This window comes from Homo sapiens, chromosome 9, assembly GCF_000001405.40.
Source record: "Homo sapiens chromosome 9, GRCh38.p14 Primary Assembly".
NCBI classification, from domain to species: domain Eukaryota; kingdom Metazoa; phylum Chordata; class Mammalia; order Primates; family Hominidae; genus Homo; species Homo sapiens.
This window is the reverse complement of record NC_000009.12, coordinates 87,569,789-87,593,425: the sequence shown is the minus strand read 5'-3', so window position 1 is coordinate 87,593,425 and position 23,637 is coordinate 87,569,789. Positions and strand designations below refer to the sequence as shown.

At 42.6% G+C, this 23,637-nt stretch overlaps 1 protein-coding gene across 8 annotated transcripts in view, besides 3 other annotated features; it reads right to left on the bottom strand.

Annotated features, from left to right (window-relative positions):
• DAPK1 (death associated protein kinase 1) overlaps positions 1 to 23,637 on the bottom strand; it is a 211,407-nt gene that overhangs the window by 115,209 nt on the left and 72,561 nt on the right. The window lies entirely within an intron of this gene.
• Positions 212 to 712: an enhancer, noted in NCBI's record as "H3K4me1 hESC enhancer chr9:90207629-90208129 (GRCh37/hg19 assembly coordinates)". NCBI's record gives its function as "activates a minimal SCP1, AML or CMV promoter by ChIP-STARR-seq in primed H9 embryonic stem cells {active_cell/tissue: H9 hESC(primed)}" and the evidence as "EXISTENCE:reporter gene assay evidence [ECO:0000049][PMID:30033119]".
• Positions 21,793 to 22,293: an enhancer, noted in NCBI's record as "H3K4me1 hESC enhancer chr9:90186048-90186548 (GRCh37/hg19 assembly coordinates)". NCBI's record gives its function as "activates a minimal SCP1, AML or CMV promoter by ChIP-STARR-seq in primed H9 embryonic stem cells {active_cell/tissue: H9 hESC(primed)}" and the evidence as "EXISTENCE:reporter gene assay evidence [ECO:0000049][PMID:30033119]".
• Positions 23,118 to 23,287: an enhancer, noted in NCBI's record as "experimental_108410 CRE fragment used in MPRA reporter constructs". NCBI's record gives its function as "activates a minimal promoter by MPRAs in K562 erythroleukemia cells, with activity observed for the non-introgressed 9:90185139 variant allele {active_cell/tissue: K562}" and the evidence as "EXISTENCE:reporter gene assay evidence [ECO:0000049][PMID:34662402]".

Below are 23,637 nucleotides of genomic sequence, written 5' to 3'. Positions count from 1 at the left end.
GATGTCTAAATATTCACATGGTTTCTCCTCTTGATTTAAGTCAAGATACTATTTGCCTGCATGTTTTTAAAGGGTAGGTTTGGGACCCTCTGTCATGCTTTGTCATTGGAAGAATTAGCTCCACCTTACACTGGGAAGTCTGCTCTGAACTGACGAAGAGTTTGCACTCAGTGTCTTGGGAGAAATTCAAATATTCCTGGCACTGGCACTATGTGGCATTTAGTGCAGTTGGGTGGCCAACATGCTTGGGAGACACCATTCACAGGTCTGTCCTGCTCTGGAGACTGAATACAACTGAGGGTAGCCAAGCTTCTTTGGGGTCTTCCGTGTCTGGGGTTGCAAGAGTCACAGGCCCAGGTCTCAGGGAGGCAGTGAGTGGCTGTCTGGCTGTCAGCCCAGCAAAGAAGAATCCTTTTTACAGTGCTCTAGGCCAAGCCATTTCCCATGATGTCTACAGATCTGTCACCTTGGCTCTGAACCAAGTGGGGACTCACCTCGTGGAGGAAGTCTAGGGGGAGGAGAAAATGGGGAGGGGACCGCAGGGTCACTTCAGGGCAGGCAAGAAGAGGCTGGCAGGGAATGGCACTGCTGGAGTTACCTGAAGTGACAGCCACTCAGATAAAACTGAAAGATGATAAGTTAAAAAGAAACCGGAGCTCCCGGGAAGCCTGAGTATTCTCTCAGTGGAAGCAGAACTCCCTGGAAGTCAGCCACGAGGCTGACCTCACCCCCGCGGCCCGATCCGAGCAAGCATGCAGCTTATCGTGAGAGCCAGGGCAAGACTGTATCCACCACGGCCAGGACAGTAAAGAGACTGATGGCGTTAACTCTCGGAAGTGCCACTTTTGAAGAGAATGTGTCACTAATTAAGTCTCAGGTCAAACACTAAACAAAATAAAATACAATTTGTGCGAATGCGGTTTGGAGTTGGTATCTCCTGAAGCAGGGATTGTAAACCCAATGACCTTTCCATGGAGCACTGCTTCCAAAAAAGTGTGGAATATGACTTCTATGGGATATGAAGTGATCATCACTGGGGGGCTTTAGAAGCTCTGTGGATGGAAACATAATCCCCTGGCAGGGAAGGGGGTGAAATGGGAAGTCCACTAGTGGGCGAGAAGGAGGAATGACCTCTCCTACAGCCCATGCTGTGGTTGGGTGGGAAGCCCTTCCTCTTGCTGGGTTTCCTCCTCATCATCTGCAGTGGGCTGGGGGCTAAGGAGCTCTGTACCCCTCCCAGCATGGGTGGCCTTGGACCCTGCAGAGCTGGGGTCAACATGGTCTTGTCACTTGGATCAAGAGGCTGTGCTTGTCTGCAGTGATACGGAAACACTGAGGTCAGACAGCCTGGCCTGTTTAAAGAATCCACCATGCTCAGCATAATGGGGCCTAAAGGAAATGGTGGCAATGGCCCTGGAGCGGAGGACGGTCTACCAGGGAAGCAGGGATGCCTCTAGTTACACGTGTATCACCACAGGCCCCCTGTTTAGACTTTCTACTCCAGGGTACTGACTTCCATAGGGCTCTGCAATGCCTCCAGAAATGAAGGCAACTGGACTTCCAGGTGAAGAGATTGCTTCATGGTGGAGGTAAGCTCTGAGCAGAAGTGGCTGGCTACAAAGCTGTACAATCTTAATAAATCAAAATCTGCAGCTTACTTTCCACTTAATGGGTGCATGAATGCAAAATAACAGAACTCATTTTTCCAGCTACTTCATCATTTGTTAGACATGAGATAGAAGAATTGGTTTGTTGAGTTTACATTTTAATTTCCTTCATAGTGACCCACCAATGCATTAGCTTTTAAAAAAATTTTTAATCACCCTGGTATATAGGATTCTTTCTGAAAAATTGATACCACTTTTGAATCCCCAGAGCCTAACATAGTATATTGGAGAAATTTTTAGTATTAATACATGTTGACTCAATGCTTTATGGGTTCCTAAATTTATATGCTGACTACCTATCTGTTTAAATTGTTTCCACTGACTTTCTGAACATGGAAAAACAATTGCTCCAGCATTGAAAAACATCATGCAAGATGTCCATCATTTGCTTTAAGACCATCCTGGCCCAGGGCAGTCTACATGCATTTACTTTTCTCATTTACTGGGCTCTGATTATTTTACTAAGCCCCAACTGGCCCTGTGGGAGCTGCCTACATGCTTTCAGAAGCCTAAGGGACAATCGGTGTATTTCAGATCCTGTACATTCATCTGAAAAGCAAAAGTACAGGACGGACCTCACATGGGCCATTGACAAACTTCAGGGCAATTCTGCTGGTCTCCTAGAGGCTAATTGCTTTGACTAAGCAGTTGCCTTCAGCCATAACTTCAGGTAACTGGGTAGATTCCCTAATTGGAGCATAACCTAAATATTTTGTAAATAAGAAGTTTTCATAGTCATCAAGTAATTTGTAATTGGCCCTTGAAAGGATAACGCAGTTTGTTAACTCCATGAGGTCAGATTTCTAAAAATTGGGAAACTGGAAAGTAGGACTCAAGGTCTTGTATGAATACAACAGAATGGCACAAATAGATGGGGTGCAGTGGCTCACGCCTGTAATCCCAGCACTTCGGGAGGCTGAGGTGGGAGAATTCCTTGAGCCTGGGAGTTCAAGACAAGCCCTGGCAACATAGTGAGACCCCATCTCTATAAAAAATTTTTAAAAATTAGCTGGGCTTGTGGTACACGCCTGTATTCCTAGCTACTTAGGAGGCTGAGGTGAGAGGATGGCTTGAGCCCGGGTGCTACAGGCCACAGTGAACCACAATCATGCCACTGCATTCCAGCCTGGGTGACAGAGTGAGACCTGTCTCAAAAAATAAAAAAAAAAATTTTTTAAGTAGCACAAATTATTCAGGAAGCCTCAAAGAACTGAGAATTGGAAAAGAAAAAAAATTCCAAAACTTAAGTTCAGTTCTGAGAAAGATGGACGGAAAAGGGTTAAAATGGCTGATCAGAGTTGAAGGTGGAATAGGAATATAGGACACAAAATTAGGCAACCCTTTTAGCTTCCTTTTTCTTTTCTTTTCTTTTCTTTTTTTTTTTTTTTTGAGGCCAATGATCTGCACTTGGGAAAGCATCAGGAAAACACTGTTAAGGTGGAACCAAAGCTTGAAGTAAGAAAAGAGATAATAAAAGATTGCCTGTTAGGTATTTTTTTTAAAAATTCGAGTCTCCACGTCTGAGTAAGTTAAGTCACAGTGTGGCAGAAGCAATCTCCTATCATTGCTGGCAATCATAGGCAAATACTAATGCGTGAAGCCATATTGATGTTCAAAGGGAACCAAATTGGAGCCCTCTCCAAGATTAATTGGCTTATTAATTCCTAGAAAACGTCAAGAATCAACTTTTGATCTGATGAATTAGAAATACTTAGCAAATGGTCAATGAGTAGCAAGAACTTTCCCCTTGCCCCAATTGGGTCATAAGAAAAGTAGAATGGAAACGGATATAGATTTTAAAAGTGTTTTGATGTCACCGAGGCCTGTGACCTCATTTTTCATGATATTTTGGTGGATGAAATGTGAATCACCATATGGTAGATTTTGGTGAGTGGAGTGCAGGCTCCTGTATTTATGCTGTGTCCTCAATAAGGTATTTTTCAGGACATCCTGGCCCTGATACTTCATTCAATATGTCATATGGAAGCATCTTTATCACACTTTTGAATGGCTAAGACAGCCAAAGAGGAATGGCTAATATACTCACTGACAGAACTTGGAATCTAAATTCTCCCAAGAGGCTGAATAATCAAATTTGCAAAAGGAATAAACAGGAATTTCTGTATTTGGGTTCAAAGAAATGAACCTCACAAGTACAGGATTGGGGAGGCCTAGCACAATAGCAGTTCATATAAAAAAAAAAGTACTTGATGGTGCTAGCTGACCTGTCTAGTGTCACAAATGACACAAGTGTAATCTCCCTGCTGATGGTGTGAATGCAGCCCCTCGTGAGTTTAAGGGGTGCTGTGCTCCTGTGCTCGAGTCTGGGCCCTTCACTTAGTGGGAAAGATGCTGATTATATGCATGACAGTCAAGGGAGGACAAGCACAATAAAGAAGGTTTTGCTTCTGGGCATGAGAACTGTCCATATCGGAAAGGTGGTGAGGGAAGTTAGACATCTGCCATGAATTCACAAACGTGTTTCAGTATCAAGTGGGAGGCTGGACTATGGTCTCTAAGAGTCCTTCCAACCTTAAGATGCTCTGTACTGGCCGGTTGCGGTGGCTCACGCCTGTAATCCCAGCACTTTGGTAGGCCAAGGTGGGAGGATCACCTGAGGTCAGGAGTTCGAGACTAGCCTGACCAACATGGAGAAACCCTGTCTCTACTAAAAATACCAAAAAAAAAAAAAAAAAAAAAAAATTAGCCGGGCGTGGTGGTACATGCCTGTAATCCCAGCTACTTGGAAGGCTGAGGCAGGAGAATCACTTGAACCTGGGAAGTGGAGGTCGCAGTGAGCTGAGATTGCACCACCGCACTCCAGCCTGGGCAACAAGAGCAAAATTCTGTCTGCTCCCCCCGCCCCCCAGAAAAAGATGCTCTGCACTAATCTGGATGGTTCTCATGGAGATTTTCATTTAGTGCACTCCTCATTTAATTAAAAGCATACATAGCATTGAGTAAAGTAAAAATCCTGTAATAGACTTCTTCTTCATGCATTTTCTGAATCTCTGTGATCATGATGTTTCCAGACTGAAACTTAAAATAAATCCATATTTCCATCAACTTCTCTAGTCTCTATTTGGAAATATATTTTATGCATCTGTGCCTTCTGAGTGACAGAGAGTATCTACAATCTGAGAGGAAATGCACAGTTGGGAGAAAGAATGCTGGATGCTGCCCTCCTCTGCCATTTGCCATCTGTGAAAGCTGATCCTCACAACCTTTGCTGAGTCTCAGCATGGTCATTTGGGAAATAAAACAAAACAAAACAAAACTGAATTGAATAATGCTTAGCCTATAGGGCAGCTGTAGCACTCAAAAGAGATAAAAAGGTATGATTATGTTTTAGATACTGCCTGCTACCACACAAATATACTGTTAATATTTGGAAGGGCTTAAGAGACATCACAGCTCAGAATAGAACCGCTGTGTCTATATTCAAGGATCCCTAATAGGTTTAGGTCAGTTTCTAATAGGGAATGGAAAGGAAGGAAAGGATCCTTTTTCAACAGGATTCAGAAACCACCAATTCAAGTCTTCCAAAACTAAAACTTAGCATAAATATCCAGACACACAAAATTATTTTAATCTCCTGCGTGGCATTATGACTTATGCACTTTGGAGGCAGAGGGCTTGCTTTTATATCCTGGCTTTGCCATTTACTAGCTGTGTGATCTTGGGCAAGTTCCTCAACCTCTCTGTGACTCAGGTACCTCAATGATTGACAAACAACGTATTAACCATATCTTCCTTAAAGGGCTGTTGTAAAGATTAAATGAGTTATACATGTAAAGCTCTTTCAACAGTGCTTGATATGTAATAATATGATTACTATTATTGTATATAGTTGCTTAAAACCACCTGCATCTTTTAGGCATGTGCCAAAGCTCATACATTGTTCTATTGGGGAAAATAAGAGAAGGCAAAAACTAAGCAAGCTCTCCTCTACTGTTTTCTGAAGAAGCCATCTTGAGCGAGGGCTGCTGAATGGCTCTCCATGAAGGCTGCTGGCTTAGGGACACCTCGGCATGTGGCAGTGGTTGTTGCCCTTTCACTTAAAACTGATTACGCTTATGAAATACTGAAGTATTGATGGTGAAGGAAAGCACAGGAACAAAAATGACCAATTCCCACGTCTTGGGCCCTTGAGTAACATTATTCGGATGTCTTTCTGGCCTTAGAAGTGGATGGTCAAATTTTGTGGGTAACCTCACCCTGGGATAATTATAAGTTATTGCTCCATCTCTTGGAGAGCCACAGAAAAAAGACTCTAACTGAAGCTGTTTGAGGCTGTTTCTAATTCGAGCTTGCATGAATTCAAAGGAGCCTCAAATTTCTCATGCTGACTTTGAGGCTCTGATCATGCAAGACCAGTACTTATTCTATATAAGAAACACACGGTGAGCATGCTCCTGAGAAATGTTCAATGTTAGAAAACAAAGGTTAAAAGTAAAATTTAAATAACCTAAGGGAACAGAGAATGATCTATTTTTTCTTCCGTTATTATTAACGTCGATGTAAAATGCTGCTGGCTGCCTTATATGAAGGCAGAGAACATGGCGGAGAGTTTCCTGCCAGGGAAGCTGCCTGCCAGCTTCCAGACTGGCCCCATCTGCCCAACTTTGATGAACTAGGCAACCTGTACAGCGATTAGAACACATCTCCTGCTTCCGAATCTCACCTTTAGGTGAGGGAGAAGAAGGAGTTTGATCTTGCTAAGGATATAAAAATTTAAAACACAGAACAGTGTTCTACATCTTCTCCTCTCAGCAAACGCTCACTGGACAGGTGGGTGAAATTGATTTACTCAGCCTTGGTCCTTGGAATTCCAAGTTTCTCTTGTTAATGTTTAATTTATTGGCTCAATCACTAAACAATGTTACTTAGAGGTTTTTTACTATTAGCTACGTTTAGACTATGATAATAAGATAGGTAAACAAACTGAAGAAAGTGACTTTTAGGACACTCGAATTAACTTTCCAAATGCTGGCTGTCACAGATTCAGAAGAGTTAATGTTAGTGATTCAGAATAAAACATATGAAAATGAACTTCGCACTGGTTCCAAAATTCTAACTTCCCTCAGACATAGGCAAAAAGAATAAAACTTTACACAATAAAATCTATGAAAACTTAGTCTGATTATCTTAAAGTTGACTTGATATACATTAATGTATTTAAGCACTAGTGTCAATTATTTGTTTAGATGACGTGTCCAATAGTGTTTTATCACAGGAAGTAGGTTATAGTTATGTAATCTTCAAATTACATAATTACATAAGTATATACATATATATAACTATATGCAGAGTATAACTGTATGCATATACATACATTTAAATTTTAAGCAATAATCATTTATAAATTAAAACAATGACTTACTTTGAGACAGAGTAGTCCATCAGAAATATAATACAAGCCACAAATGCAAACCACATGGGTAATCTGAAATTTTCTTCTCTTTCTTGGAGACAGGGCCTCACTCTGTTGCCCAGGCTGGAGTGCAGTGGGGCGCTATCTCAGCTCACTATAGCCTGGATCCCCTGGGCTCAAGTAATCCTCCCACCTCAGCCTCCCAAGTAGCTGGGATTACAGGTACACGCCATCATATCTGGCTAATTTTTGTATTTTTTGTAGAGGTGGGGTTTCACCATATTGCACAAGCTGGTCTCACACTTCTGGGTTCAAGTGATCCGCTCGCCTCGGCCTCCCAATGTGCTGGGATTACAGGTGTGAGCCACCATACCCAGGTATAATTTGAAATTCTCTAGCAGTCACACTAATAAAAGTAAAAAGAAACAGGCAAAATTAACTCTAATATTTTGTTTATCCCAATATATTGAATGTTATGATTTAAGCATGTAGTCAATAATGAAAATGATTATGATAGATTTTGCCCTTTTCTGAGTGTTTGAACCCCAGTGTGTGCTTTACACACACACAGCACATCTTGTTCAAACCAGCCCTACTTCAAGTGCTCGATGGCCACAAGTGGCCTGTGGCTGTCATGTCAAACAGCACAGCTTTAGGCTAATTTTATAGCTATAATATAAAACTAGGACATAGCTTAATTATTTATAGAAGGGAACCAGAAGAGATAGTTGTGAAGTCACTCAGATGAACCATAGCTAAGTCAGCACATTAATCATTGGAAGATAAAAGGTATGACTGTTCACCTTATTAGAAGAATAACAGAGACCAAAATTAGCTTAGAGACCCAGACTGTGTATTCTGGATAATTTTCTTAAAATGATGTGAATACATTTCCAGCTCGTAATTTGTGTGCACTAAGATAGTTTTCTTTTTAAACATATTCTGCTGTTTGGAGTACAGAAGCCAAATAGACAACCTACATGCTACAATAAGCATTTGTGTACTTGAAGGCATCTACAAGTCTCCATTCAGCCCTGTTTAGCGAATTCCTGTTAGTATAACCACTGGTTCAGGCAGATGAGCTTATGGCTCCAAAAGGGCAAGCATCAAGATTTCTGTGGTCTGGGAAATGACTTTTTGGATATGACCCCAGAAGCACAGGCAACAAGAGCAAAAATAGACAAATGGAATTACATCAAACGAAAAAGTTTCTGCATAGAAAAGGAAACAATACACACAGTGAATAGATTACCTACCGAATGGGAAAAAGTGTTTTGAAACTATACATCTGATAATGAGTGAACAGTCAAAATATATACATGGTACTCAACTCCAAAGCAAGAAAACAAATAACCTGATTTTAAAATGGGCAATGGACTTAACAGACAACTCTCAAAAGAGGATATACGGCTGGACGCAGTGGCTCACGCTTGTAATCCCAGAACTTTGAGAGGCCGAGGTGGGTGGATCACCTGAGGTCAGGAGTTCGAGGCCAGCCTAGCTAACATGGTGAAACCCCGTCTCTACAAAAAATACAAAAATTAGCCAGGCGTGGTGGCGGGCAACTGTAGTCCTAGCCACTCAGGAGGCTGAGGCAGGAGAATCAGTTGAACCCAGGAGGTGGAGACTGCAGTGAACTGAGATCATGCCACTGCACTCCAGCCTGGTCAACAAGAGTGAAACTCCATCTCAAACACACACACACACACACACACACACAATGAGCTATCATTTCTCACTTGTTAGAATGGCTGCTATCAGACAAAAGACAAGTGTTGGTGAGGATGTGGAGAAAAGAGAACCCTTGTACACTGTTGGAGAGAGTGCAAATTAGCACAGCCATAATGGAAAACAATCTGGAGGTTCCACAAAGAATTAAAAATAGAACTACCATATGGTCCAACAATCCCACTAGTAAGTATATATCCAAAGCAAATGAAATCAGTATGTCAAAGAGATGTCTGCACTCCCATGTTTATTGCAGCACTATTCACAACAGCCAAGATATGGAATCAATCATCAGTGGATGAATGAATAAAGAAAATATGGTAAATATACACAGTGAAATACTATTCGGCCAGAAAAAATGGTAAGAGAAATGAGTTCAAGAGAGCTATTTTACAACATGGTGACTATAGTTAATAATGTAATGTATTCTTGAAAAATGCTAAGAGAATGAATGTAAAGTGTTCTCACCACAAAAAATGATAACCATGTGAGGTAATGCATACATTAATTAGTTAAATTTCATCATCTCACAATGTATACATACTTCAAAACATCATGTTGTACACAGTAAATGCATGCAATTTTATCTGTCAATTTAAAAAAATAATTTAAAAAAGATTTGTATGTAGCATACTAATAATACAGCTACAAAAATGTATCCAGCCCCAATATTAAATAAAAATAGAGATTATGATTCAGCTGATTTTAAAAGTGTGGTCCTCCTTGGGAAGTGGATTTTCTGTATGATCTTAATTATTTCATAGTTACTCTCACCTCCACCTCCAACCCCATGAACTGAAGAAAGAAGGGCAATGATAGAGAAAGCATGGTAGGCTGAAAGGTTCCAATGAGGCTGAAGAGTTATCATGGTGGAAAGGGTGGACTAGTCAGTGGCAAGGAGGTGCTGTGAGTATGGCTGCCTGGAAATGAAGGTTTGGGTGGAGTTTCTAGTGACAGCAGTGCAGTAGAGGAGAAGGTGGCTGGAAATGAGGAGGTCAAGGAACTCCACGGTGGGGTGCAGGTTATGACAGTGGGGAGATGAAGGGGAAGGCCGCAAGCTTAGATTTTCACTGCTCACAGAAGTCTGCTCTTTCTCTATGCATGACATTTCTTAAACTTGGGGTCAATTCATTTCTTCTCCACTTTCAAGTGATCACAGTACTGATATTCATTATTTCCCCTTGCTTGTCAAAGTTGTAAGAATTAGCAAGCCTATTGCTTGGGGCTCGTTACATTTGCTGTACGCATTTGAGGGTAGAGTGCTGAGTGCTCCTGCCTAGTGGCAAGTTTAAATATGCTGAGGAACAACTGGAGTCTCTACCTGCATTCCCAGTGACTGCTACTTACATTCATTGATTTACTAACCCACTCAACGAGTGTTCCTTGAACACTCATGTGTCAGGCATAGTATCATGGGAGGGGGTTTTTCTCAAATACCACAATAAAGGGGGAATCTGTAATAATGAAATATTATTCTTCCCTATCCTGGCTGTGAATTACAACCTCTTAAGAGTCTTTCTCCTTATTTACCATTTCTTTGCCTATTTCCTTCATTCTATTAATAACAGAAAGAAAAACGGCATGCCATTTTTAAAGTGGCCAACTGTATATACCCTTGACCTGGAGAAGACAAATCCCGAGATCGCAGAGGTCAACCGCTTCTTGACAAAAGATGAAGGAATCTGGGGTCTCAACTTACCATGCAGCAGCTACTGCTGCTGCTGCTGCTGCTCCTGTGGTTCTGATCACCCAGTATCTCAAGGTCTTTTATGGTACAGTGACCCCATTAGAACTAGGGAGAACTGGCTGGGCGCGGTGGCTCATGCCTGTAATCCCAGCACTTTGGGAGGCCGAGGTGGGGGGATCACGAGGTCAGGAGTTCAATACCAGCCTGGCCAAGATGGTGAAACCCCGTCTCTACTAAAAATACAAAAATCAACCAGGAGTGGTGGCACACTCCTGTAGTCCCAGCTACTCGGGAAGCTGAGGCAAGAGAATCGATTGAACCTGGGAGGCGGAGGTTGCAGTGAGCCGAGATAGCACCAGTGCACTACAGCCTGGGAAACAGAGCAAGATTCCATCTCAAAAAAAAAAAAAAAGCAGGAAAATTGGCAAAGTGTGACCATAGTAAGGAGAAACACTTCATGGCCATCAGTAAACATAGCAGAAACAACTGAGGAGGTGCGTCAGTCTCAACAAACTTGCCAACTGCTCCTGACCACGTTTTAAGTCTTGAGCACCGTATTGAAGAGCAGTGAAGACTGTCATTCAATGTCAACCATTACTAAGCTCCAACAGGCTAGACGCTTCAGTCCCAGAGACGCTAATGATCGCTGTTTCTCTGCTGGCTTTTTCATGACATACCTAGCCTTTTATAATAATTCATTTCACCTCCAACTCCACTTTGCTTTCACCACTTGGTACAATCAGAAAAGAAGCCAAAATTCTAGCAACTCTTTCACAATTGTTTTACGTAGACCCATTTCAGATCTCACTAGCTACTCCAGCTCATTAAAAAAAAAGACCGGAGGAGAAGGCTCCACCTGGTACGGGGCCACATTCCAGCAGAGTACAAAATCAATCTTTGTTAAAAAACATAAAGTTGATCATTTTAAGTGGTATATTTGAAGGCCTCCTGGATTTGTTTTCTTTTTAAACCTTGGTTATTTTTTGTAGAGCACCAAACTCTGTATGTGAGGACCTATTCAAATTAAATTTCAGTTAAAATGTCTTACTACATTAAGCCCGAGTGTCTCAAATTAAAGAAAATGAGTGGGAATAAATGTTTAAAAATACATATGACCTCAGGGCACATGATCTACTCCAGATGAAAGGCATGAGATGAATTGCTGGTTTGTTCCCCGGTGGCAGACATCTTCCTGTGTAGCAAAGTTTCTCCAAGTTTCCAAATCAGTCCAGTCCTGGAAGTTTTAAGGCTGACTCTGTTTTGTAGGCTGGTCATGTGACCACATTGCTTTTGACCCAGAACAGCTTATCTTCCACAGGCCAGAAGGGAACTAGGGTAGTTAGGGGGGAAGAATCAGATTCCAATTTACAACCCAAACGAGCTACAACTACACACAAACAGCTGAAATGGGCTGCAAAGCCTCCAAAACCACAGGCTGTGGAGCCATATTCTCTAATTATTGGTCATGATAAGTATGCAATTTTAAATCCATTTTGATTTCAGGATATTGTTGTAAGTAAAATTAACTAAGTTTTTTTTTTTTTAATTACAGCTTGATTCCATCATCATGGCTTGTACTCAGGCAAACCAGAGTTTATTTGCCTACAAAGAGACTTTATTTGCCTATTTACTTAATATCAGGATGTTCAAGGGTAACGCCTAGCCAGGTGCCATTCATTGCTAGTCCTTGTTCCTCCCCTCAGAAGGGAAAATGAAAACAAAGGCACAACTATGCAGTTTGAGGAAAGCAGTGTGTGTCCAAGGAACAGAGGTGTCCATGCGTCTTCCGAAGCTATGGACTTTTGGAGCTTAGTCTGAACAGCTAGGGAAAGAGTGTGCAACAGACTTTTACATGATGATTTTGAAAGTGGTTAAGGAGACTGAAAACAAGCGGAGAGAACTCAGATAAGTTACGCGATAGCTATCTAACTGGGTCACGCGTTCATTCTGCTAACTCTGTAGCTGAGTGGGAGAGGGTTTAGTGGTCCCATGGAGTTCCGTGTAATTTACATTTCACGGTAGTGTCAATGTCAAGTTGTACAAAGGGCACACGTTAAAATAATGATCAAACATTCACATTAAGTGTCCCCACATGCTGACAGACCCATACTCAGAGCACTGCTTCTCCTTAAAACTTCAGAAAACCTCTTTAGAAGCTTAACCGCTCGGTCCTATGTGGGAGACTCGTATATGTCTTCTTTACAGGGGCAATTTAATCACTATTGGGATATCACATAAGGCCAAAGCGATGGGAGCTTTAGAGCAGGTAGTAAAGTCATACAGAGTAGGAGCTGGTATTAATCTTTGTATTTGGTCTTATGCTAGCTGTAGATATAATCTTGTATACAATAAGTGCTCAATATCCAAAGAACTCAACTATGAAGCAAGAAATTCCTCCAAAGCTAAAGAGATAAAGGATAGAATTCATTACTGTGTTGTCTGCTATGGAGATATTTTCCAAACAGAAAACTAGGGCAAGTTGTCTAAAAAGTAAAAATATATTTATGAGAACAAAATATTTGAGATTGCTTTGCACTGGGAACCACCCGCATGTAGGTTTCCAGTTGCCATCTCTGGAAAATCCCTTTTACCATAGAAGGTAACTATTCACAGGTCCCAGGGATTAGGAGGAGGATATGTTTGGGGGTCACTATCCAGCCACATCCCCAAAATGAGCTAATCATAATGACATCCCTTTTTATTTATTTATTTTTAAAAATAGGAACTGAAAGGAAATATCAGGAAGAAAGAGCACACAGGGCAGTTTCATCAATGACCGTGAAGTTCTCTGACCCACAGTTAAAGATTTTCCCTGCCTGCCTCCTCAACTGCTTTATCTGCTGTAACCACTGCCATTAAATAATGAGGCCTTATATAATGACATGATTATTACATGTCAAATTTAGCTCCATGGACTGTTTTTCATACAGTCCAGCTTCAATGAAAACAGCATTCTCTATATACCAGTGAGTCCCCACCAAGCCACCACTTGGGCTTCCAGACACTTAACACACATTCCTGTGTTATACATCACTGCTAAGCTTTAGAAAACCTTGATCCACAAGTGGTTACTTCCTAGTAGTAGGTTGGATAATACTACTTAATACATTTTTATTGGAGGAATGGATGGAAGGATGAATGAATGGATGGCTGGATGGAAGGATGGATGAATGGGACAAAACATATTCAGGAACCTTTGGAATAAAAGTAAGGTGATCATTCATTCCTGCAGCTGATTTCCCTGAATTGAAAAAAACAGAAATAGATGAATCACTTTGAAATAATAGAAGAGAATGTGTAAATGTGTGGCCAGAGTAGAAGATTTCAATTCTTCTTTCTGCTCTTGTCCTTCCCAGCTTTTCTACCTCCCAAGTGATGCTCAGTTCTGGGTGCCTCTGCTATTATTCCCAACGTAGAGCAACTAGGATGTAAAGGTGCCAGAAGCAGCTTTAAAACTATGATGGATCTACCATTTCCCCACCACTTTTCCGGCACAGAGCTTCTTCTGGAAGGGTCCCAAAGCTAAAGCTATTAACCTGCATGGCTTTGCCACTGTGTCAAGCTAGGATGACTGCAAGATGTTAAATGAAAGGGTGGAAATGTGCTCTTCCTCTTCTCTATCTGGGTAATGCACACTCAGTTTGAAAGGAAAGTATGCAACAAGTCATTCACCGCTTCAATCAAACATCATTTATCAAGGAGGTCCAAGAAGATGGATTCTCTGATTATTTTAGTGAGAGGCCCTCAAAGACTTCCCTTTGTGATGCACTGAAGAAGTGCACTTGAGTGAGTGTGTGTGAAGCAGGTGGGGAAATGTGTGCATCAGTGGGGAGGGGGTGCTGTCTCACCTTGGAATAGATTATATATACTTCGGTGAGCCTGAATAATTTAACTTTGCAATGCTATGTGTGCCTTTTGCTGCAATATCCCAGAGCATTTATTAAGGGCCTTTATGAGGGTGTCATCCTAAATGCCACACTGGTCTAGGCTGGTGTGCATGGCACAAAGAGGCTAAATGGTACAAAACATTAGAGATGAAGCCCAGATACAATAAAGATGGAGCAGCAAGAGCAGAGCTGAGAAGCCCAGATGGCCTCAAATCCCAAGATAAGACGAAAATCCCCAAACTAAAGCTGTCAGACATTGAAAGATAAACATGACTCTGAAAGATGAGTAAAAGGAAGATGAAGACACATGGGTGTAGGAATCTGTGACCACATTCACAGAGAGCTGCTAGAGGTCAAGGGCACGAACACTTGGCTCTGCAAAGTGGCAAATGGGATTGTTTTCTGGTTTTGTTTGGGTTTTGTATTTTAAGATAATAGCCAACTTTAGCAAAAGTACAAGGAAACAGGCACTGTCTTATTCAGAGTGGGAGTAAAGACAACACAACCCTTCTGGAAACAAATTTAGCTCCATGTAACGAGAACCTTTAAAATGTTTATAACTTTTGGCTCAGTGCATCTACTTCTAGCAATCTATCCTAAGGAAATAATCAGAAAAGCAATCAAAGATTGCTTTACAAGGCTATTTGTACCCATCATGGAAGAAAAGAATGACATTCACCAGAGGAAAACAGTGGAGCTAATTATGATAAATCTACATAGTACAATCTGATGCCAGCTTTGAAGATGAAATTAAAAATATATCATGCATTATCATAATGTAATATTCGGTTAAAAATGCAAGCTATGCAACTACATACATCCATATGATCCTAATTTTCTATTAAAAAGGACATATAGATGCAAGGCTGCAAGCTAATACAGCAAAATGTTAACATTTAATGGGATCTTTCGGGGGATGGGATTACTAGAGAGTCCTATTTTCTCTTTCAAAGTTTTCTATGTTGTTTTCAAACTTTCTACATGAGCATGAGTTACATTTAAAATCGGAAGAAGGCTGCCACCGAAAAATATCAGAGCACCAGCAAATGAGGTAAAAGAAATGGAAATGTTCTATGGCCTGTGGGTAGCTTCTCGCGCCTCATCCCTGTCATCGCCTCTGAGCACCTGTTCCAAAATAATTCTTCCTCCAGTTCCAATCCCCAACCCTAGGAAGAGGGGAGGGGAAAGGGAGAGAATGAGACAGAAATTCTTTAGAGCAGAATTTTTCGATCCTGGTTACACACAGGAATCACTGGTGGAGTCTTTTTTTATTTTTTATTTTTCCTGAGACAGAGTCTCGCTCTGTCACCACACTGGGGTGCAGTGGCACAATCTCAGCTCACTGCAACCTCCGCCTCCCGGGTTCAAGCAATTCTCCTGCCTCAGCCTCCTGAGAAGCTGGGACTACAGCCCTGCATCACCACGCCCAGTTAACTTTTGTATTTTTAGTAGAGACGGGGTTTCACCATGTTGGCCAGGACGGTCTGGAACTCCTGACCTCAAGTGATCCACCATCCTTGGCCTCCCAAAGTGCTGGGATTACAAGCGTGAGCCACTGTGCCTGGCTCACTGATGGAATCTTTTAAAACATCCTCGTGCCTGGGCTCTGCCCCAGACTCATTAAATCAGTATCTCTTGGGGGGGACCCTGGCTTTCGTATTTTAAAATGTTCCTCAGGGAAGTCTAAGATTCAAGGAGGTCTGATAACTTAGATGTAGAGACTAGTAGCTCTCAGATGTTAGCACTCATTCAAATCACCTGAAGTCTAGTTAAAACACAGACCGCTGGGCCCCACCCCGAGTTTCCAATTCCGTTATGTCTGGGGTGGAACCTGAGAATCTGCATTTCTAACCAGTTTCCAGGCGATGATGAAAATGATGCAGGTCCAGAAACCACACTTTGAGAACCACAGTTGTACACACACAGCTTCTTAGGTTTGCCTCGTTGATCTTGAGTTCCATACCAGATTCCCGTATATATTTGAGGGACAAACCAGAATATTATCTCTTCCCCAAACACTGAGCAGCAAAGTTTTGATCCAAAGAAGGCAAAAGGACAATCAAGGCAGAGAAAGGAAATGCCCATTTATGGGGCAGCTGCAGGTTGCTGGGCACTGGGCTGGATCCTGTGTTTCCATACCCTGGAGCTCACCTCGTGCTCACAGCAGTGCTATAAGGAGGGCACTGCCATTTCTATTGTAGGACAATTAAAACCGAGATCCAGGGCCAGGCGCGGTGGCTCACGCCTGTAATCTCAGCACTTTGGGAGGCCGAGGTGGGCAGAGAGCACTTGAGGTCAGGAATTTGGTACCAGCCTGGCCAACATGGTGAAACCCCGTCTCTACTAAAAATACAAAAATTGGCCGGGTGCAGTGGCGGGTGCCTGTAATCCCAGCTACTTGGGAGGCTGAGGCAGGAGAATCACTTGAACCTGGGAAGCGGAGGTTGCAGTGAGCCGAGATAGCGCCATTGCACTCCAGCCTGGGAAATAGAGAGAGACTCCGTCTCAAACAAAACAAAACAAAACAAACAAGATCCAGAGAAACACAGTAATTTATCAGTAACAGGCAGCTCATGAGGGGCAGAGGCCAAAATGCAACTAAGGCTCACCAGTCACCCAAGCCTGCTTTCCTTCCTCCAAGAACAAACACACTTGACAAGATAAAACTATCCCCAGAAGCAAACACGCGCCTGAAGAGACATGATTTAGATGACAGTACAAAACATAAGAGCAAATATAGGAGTCCACTGCGCTTTGCTTTTTATTCTTATAATTATTAGCACAGATAATGAAGTAACACACTCACTACAGGAAAACATCTGCTCAGCTTGCCTTTAGCACAAACTCAAACACATTTTCATTAACTCTGACCCGTGTGTGTGTACGTGTGTACGCATGTGTGTGCATGCGTGTGTGCACGTGTGTGTACGTGTATGAAGAATGAACTCATCAAAGTCCACCCAAGTTTGGAATGCTGAATGCTAACATTAAAGAGATGCTCACACTGAGACATCTGACTACCGCTAACCTGAGCTTGTTAGAGAAAAAGCAAAACATTGAACCACGGAAGGCATTTTCTTGGGTTTCAGGACTTCGCTGCATTCACAGCCTTCCTCCCAGGCATAGCTGGGTCTGTCGTGGGCCCCATGAGGTATAAATTCTATCTGTACCTTCTGTTCCACCCTTGACTTCCCTTGCCAGGGAGCACCTTAGTGCCTGAGAATGCGAGGGTTGTTTTGTTTGAGTTTGGGATGATTAGGTTGAAGGAAATTATTCCTATTTTTCCACCACTCTTCGTACACTCTTTTCTAAAGGGAATACTTTGTGTTTGCTGTTAGGTCAAAAAAAAGTCGGGAGGGAGAGATAACGTTCAGCCCACTTATGAGTCTTCATCTGTACAGAAATTTGGACAATTTCCACTCAGCCCTGCACTAGCTCTCAAAATCTATTTGATTCTCAACATTTAAATAATATTGATGCCACTCCTCAAATTACTCCTTTGTAACCTCCATGGAGGTACAGTGACATGCCTGGGACTTCCAGCTCAGGGCTTTGTTTTTTCGAAATCGGGATCTCAGAAACCACACGCTCCTTAAGGTTTCTTGCCCTCACAACACCCCATAAAGCACCCAATGCTGACACAGACCCATGCACTCCTTCTGGTGCTGAGGCGAGGCCCATTTTTCTACTCCTGCTGTGATTGTTATTGTGAAGCTCTTTGCTGGGCTCCAAACACACGTGCACATCCCCAGCAAGCTGAGGCCAGCACGAGATAACGGCTATGAATGTATGCATCTTGCCTTTTACCTTTATTTTATTTTATTTTATTTTATTTTATTTTATTTTATTTTATTTTATTTTATTTTATTGAGATGGAGTCTGTTGCCCAGACTGGAGTGCAGTGGTGCAATCTTGGCTCACTGCAACCTCCACCTCTCAGGGTCAAGTGATTCTCCTGCCTCAGCCTCCCGAGTAGCTAGGACTACAGATGCACACCACTACGCCTGGCTAATTTTTTTGTATTTTTAGTAGAGATGGGGTTTCACCATATTGGTCAGGCTGGTCTTGAACTCCTGACCTCAGGTGATCCACCTGCCTCAGCCTCCCAAAGTGCTGGGATTACAGGTGTTAGCCACCACGCCCGGCCTTGTTTTATTTTTTTGAGACAGAGTCTCACTCTGTTGCCCAGGCTGGAGTGCCGTGGCATGATCTCAGCTCACTGCAACCTCCACCTCCCAGGTTCAAGCGATTCTCCTGCCTCAGCCTCCCAGTAGCTGGGACTACAGGTGCACAGCACCAAGCCCGGCTAATTTTTTGTGTATTTTTAGTAGAGACGGGGTTTCACCATGTTGGCCAGGCTGGTCTCAAACTCCTGACTTCAGGTATTTGCCCACCTTGGCCTCCCAAAATGCTGGGATTACAGGCGGGAGCCACCGTGCCTGGTCACCTTCTACCTTCAAATTTAGATGACTGCCAGCAGTTTTCTCCTTGTATTTGCACTCCATGCCAGCTGTAATTAATTAAATTATTAAGCCATGGTTAATTAATATCACCTCTAAGGGCCAGCTCTGCCTCCTCTTGGAGGAACGATTAAGAGATCCAGCATGACTGCAAACTTCCTGTGATATATATAAAATGGCTGGGAAGCATCTGTTGGAAATTTTTGGGCCAAATCCAAACATTACCTAGGTTTGAATGACCTTAAGACCCCAATGAGGTGGAGACGGTAGTTGTTTATCCCAATATTTGATCTTCACTGTGTCTTGGGTCCTAGAATTACCCATTTTTAGCTGAGAATCTGGCATTTGGTATAAAGACTACTTTTGCTAGTCTTCCTTATGGCCACATAACTAGCTAGCTGTGGCCATGTTGTTATGTTCTGACCAATAGAATGTAAGCAGAATTATGGTGTGCAATATCCAAGGAATGTCTTTCATGGGAAAGGACGTGACTTTCTTTCTCTCTTCTTTCTTCTTGCTGGGTGGAATGAAGATGTGATGGCTAATGCATGAGGAATCATCTTGGCCATGAAGTCAAAGTCTCATGCTTAGGATAGCACAGTGGCATAATAAAAGAAGCCAAAGTCTTTGATATCACAGAGCTGCCATATCAGCCTAGACTCCTTCTATATGATATAGAAATAAACTCCTATTTCTTTAAGTCATTATTATTTGAGGTTTTCTGTCACAAGCAGCCCAAACTAATCCTAAGCATTCAGTAATGAAAACATCTCTAAAGAAACCTTCAAAACTCAAAATAATCAAAGATGAGCTCTCATTAGAATTATAGAGATAAGGGGCATGAAATCAACCCTGCAAGAGCATTTCTCACAGCTTGGTCAATTCCTGGACACTTGGAGTATTGGAGCTTTAAAGAAGTAACCAGACAAGATCAGAGTCCTGAGGTGACAGGACACTGACATAAAGTGCTGACTGGAGTTGAAGCCACTTTCTTCTTCCAGAAGTCTGATCCTTGGTGGTCAGGAAGAGGTGGCACAGCACAGCCATGTTGGGAAAGCCCTCAGCTGTGCTGTCCTTCTCTGCAAACACACCAAGCCTCCTTCAGAGCTACATATCCCCACTCTTACAAACTCACCCCTCCCTCCCTCTCTGCTCCTTCTCCCATCATCTCTGGATGTTGTATTACTGTATCACTGTGTGCAATGAACAGAAAGCCAGTATCACCATCTCTCCAGGGAGCAGGGTTTCCATCCAGGAGAGACAGAGCTTTAGTGCCTATGAGGAATGTGCAGTGCACGATGGGCTTGCCTGGAGGAAGACCTGGCTCAGGTTACAAGGTAGGAAAGGAAGCTCATTCCCCTTGGCATCTGAGGTGGGTTGTCAGCTGTGGCAGATGTCAGCAAGAAGGAAAGACACAAACTTGTACACACCCTTCAGCACATGATACCATTTGACATGCAGTCAGAGCCATTTAACATGCAGTCAGAGGTATTATGAGGAGGGAAGGTGTTCTGAACCCCAGAAGGCTGGGTGCTGTCCGTGTGGCCTTGCAGAGATCACAGATACGCTTAGAACCCCAGTTTGCTCAGTGTTTTGTATAAGCGAAACTCCTGTCTTCAGAATCAGCATCTGGAAGGTGGGAGGAGAGCTGTGTGTTTCAGAATCTCAGCCAGGCTTGGCAATATCTAGCTTAGAACCTCACCACCCAATGCATTCTGTGGGCCGCAGCATGGGCTTCATCTGGATGTGTGTTTTAAATGCAGAATCTCAGTCCCCACCTAGACCTACAGTGTTAGGCTGTTCTTGCAATGCAAGAAAGAAATACCTGAGAATGGGTAAATTACAAATAAAAGAAGTTTAATTGGCTCACGATTCTGCAGGCCGTATAAGCATGGCACTGGCATCTGCTCAGCTTCTGGGGAGGCCTCAGGGAGCCTTCACTCTTGGTGGATGGTGAAGTAGGAGCAGGCACTTCACATGGGGAGAGCACAAGCAAGGTGAGGGGGAGGAACCACACACTTTTCAGCAACCAGGTCTCACCAAAACTCACTCACTATCACCAGGACAGCATCAAGCCAGGAGTAACCTACCCTCATGACCCAAACACCTCCCACCAGGCCCCACCTCCAACATGGAGGATTGCAATTCAACATGAGATCTGGGTAAGGACAAATATCCAAACAATATCGCCTACTGAATTGGAATCTGCCTGATCCTCAGGTGACTCATAAGCACATTGAAATTTGAGAAAAGCTGGCTCCCATCTATAACGGCACGACTTCAAGGAGAATATAATATATTTAGTAGCCATTGTCATAGAACCCGGTCTAAATACTTGCTCTTCATTTGCTTCATTAAAAGAAATAGAGACCTCTTACTATGAGGATTGAAAGTGTTAATGTATAAAAGGCATGGGGCAGTGTGATATGTTAATGAATGCCAGCTTTGTTTTTGCTGCTACTACTATGATCATTAGCTGCTATATTCATCAGTCTAGATTTACCAAAACTCAAGAGAACCACTGAGGGATGGGAGTTGCCAATGCTGAGCAAGTCTTTCTATTTGTGACTTTTTTATTCCCAGCCCTTGGCATGACAGAATCCTCCCCAGTGAACAAAGAACTCTTAAAAGGTGGCCTTGGCTGATCCACAAAGGCAAAAGAAAACACAAAGCCCTGGAAGGAAGATCCCTGGGACTCCACGGTCTGCAACCAAAGAGCTGGCTCAAGCCAACAGCAAGGCCAACCACTTAGCCCCTCAGAAGGAGAGAGGCCTCCAACCCCCATGTCCCCATCCCAGGGGACACAGAGGCACCACCTTTGTGTGAGAGAATAATCAAGGGTATCCCCCAAAACTCCAAAGGCCCCCAAGCTCTCTCATTGGCACGCACGCACTGCCCGCAGATCACTGTTTAAGGAAAGTGTGCAAACGCTGTTTACATGGCATCAGCTGAAGGTGGACTGCTGGCAGACGGATGGGCAGCCGCAGGATGCAACCATCCATTTATGTCACTGGAACGTTTGCAAGGAGACAGATCAAATGGGAGAACCAAACCCTCTCTGTTCCCTTTTCCCTCTCCGCCTGCTTCGCTTCTGGTGTGTGTGTGTGTGTGTGTGTGTGTGTGTTGGGGTGTGTGTGTGTGTGTGTTGGTGTGTGTGTGTGTGTGTGTGTGTGTGTGTGTGTGTGTTGGGGGGTGGGGGATGGGGCCTAGGCTCTGGGTCTCTTCACAAGAAGTCAGGTTCCCCACAGAGCCAAGTTCCCCTCATGTTTAAGCTCCAGGAGAAACCAGCCCATGATTACAATTTCACAGGCAAACACCAGCAACAGTTCAGATACTTGCTCCAGGGTTCCCAGCAATGCTGACTCTGCAGAGAGAAACAGAGAGCAGAAGCCTGGGGTCTCCCATCTTGTCCTCAGGTAATGGCTTTTGTTCCCAGGGTACAATTAAGTCACTGTTCCCTTAGTGTGTGTGTACCGAATACACAATGCCTTCTATTCTCAAGGCCTAAAGAAAACAGGCGTTGGCATGAGGCATCCACATTTTCTTTAATGAACTAAACAGCCCAACCTGAAATTCAAGTGCTAAACTTTCAAGAGCAAACAAAAAGCTCGTGTTCCAGTCCAGTTCACTGAAACCAAGTGACTTTTCTATCAGCCTCAAATCCTGGGGGTGTTTACTTACTTATTCTTCTCTTATCAGCACAGTTAGGGGTCAGTTCCACATGTAAGCAAGGGAAGCAAACTGAGCATATGACACTTCAGATGGGAAGAAAAAAATCTCTGAGACTCTTACTCGACACCCTATGTGTTTGCAAATGGTTTCTCTCCCCTCTCTGCTGTTCCTGAAATCTGGGGAATCAGGCATTTTGAACAGCTGAACAGGCAATTCAATCTTTGGAATGAAATCTTCTAAATCACTGCTATGAATGATGACTCCTTCCTATAAAGAATTCCCTAAGAAGTGCACGCCTGGGTTAAGCCAGGTTTTCACTCCTCAAGCAGTCCCTTGTTTGTAGGTGTCACATAGACTACAGTTCTGCAGAGGAAAACATGTATTATTTACGAGAGGTACAACTGGCTTTTTGGGTTTTTTTTACATACAAAATAATGAAAAGAATGGGAAAGCTCCTGTCCCAACCTGGGGGTAATATTCTTCAAGGTAAAGCAAAGTATTTGATGATATAAAAAGAGGCATCTGGCAGATTTACATCAAAGCCATTTTAAGCTGTTATAAAATTAGTTCCCTAAACATAATTTTTCTCTTCTTTGCTAATGGACAACTTCTAGTACCTCTCTGTGTTAATAATTAGACAAAGCTGGAGTCAGAAGTGAAGTTTCTATTAGACAGAGAGGCATAAACAGAGTAAGAATGAAGTGTGTCTTGTGTACATATGGGAGGGAAAATGAGGTTCAAGAGTCCATAAAAGCTTTAGTAATATTTGATCAGCAGTGTTTGTGCCTTCTTTTTCCTGGACTGCAACTAACATAAATTTTTCTCTTATCAAAGTGATTAAAAAAAAATAGAAAGTGACTCAGTTATGCAAACTTCAAGATAAGGTGTAAAAGAATCTGATGCAGGAAAAAACACACATTGCTTTTGTCTTATAAGCATTTCTAGCTCATTAAGACTCAGAAACACAAATATAATAAGACCAGAAATAAAATCATGACATTCGGAAGTCTAGAAGTAGTAGTTTATGGTGATTTCATTAATCAGAAAATAATACCTAAAACTTTATTTACCAATTTAGTGAAAGTTGTTTTCTGAAGTCTTAAAAATAAAGGAAGAGGACAAATAGTTCTCAGCCTTGCATTTACAGCTGTTTGGCACCACT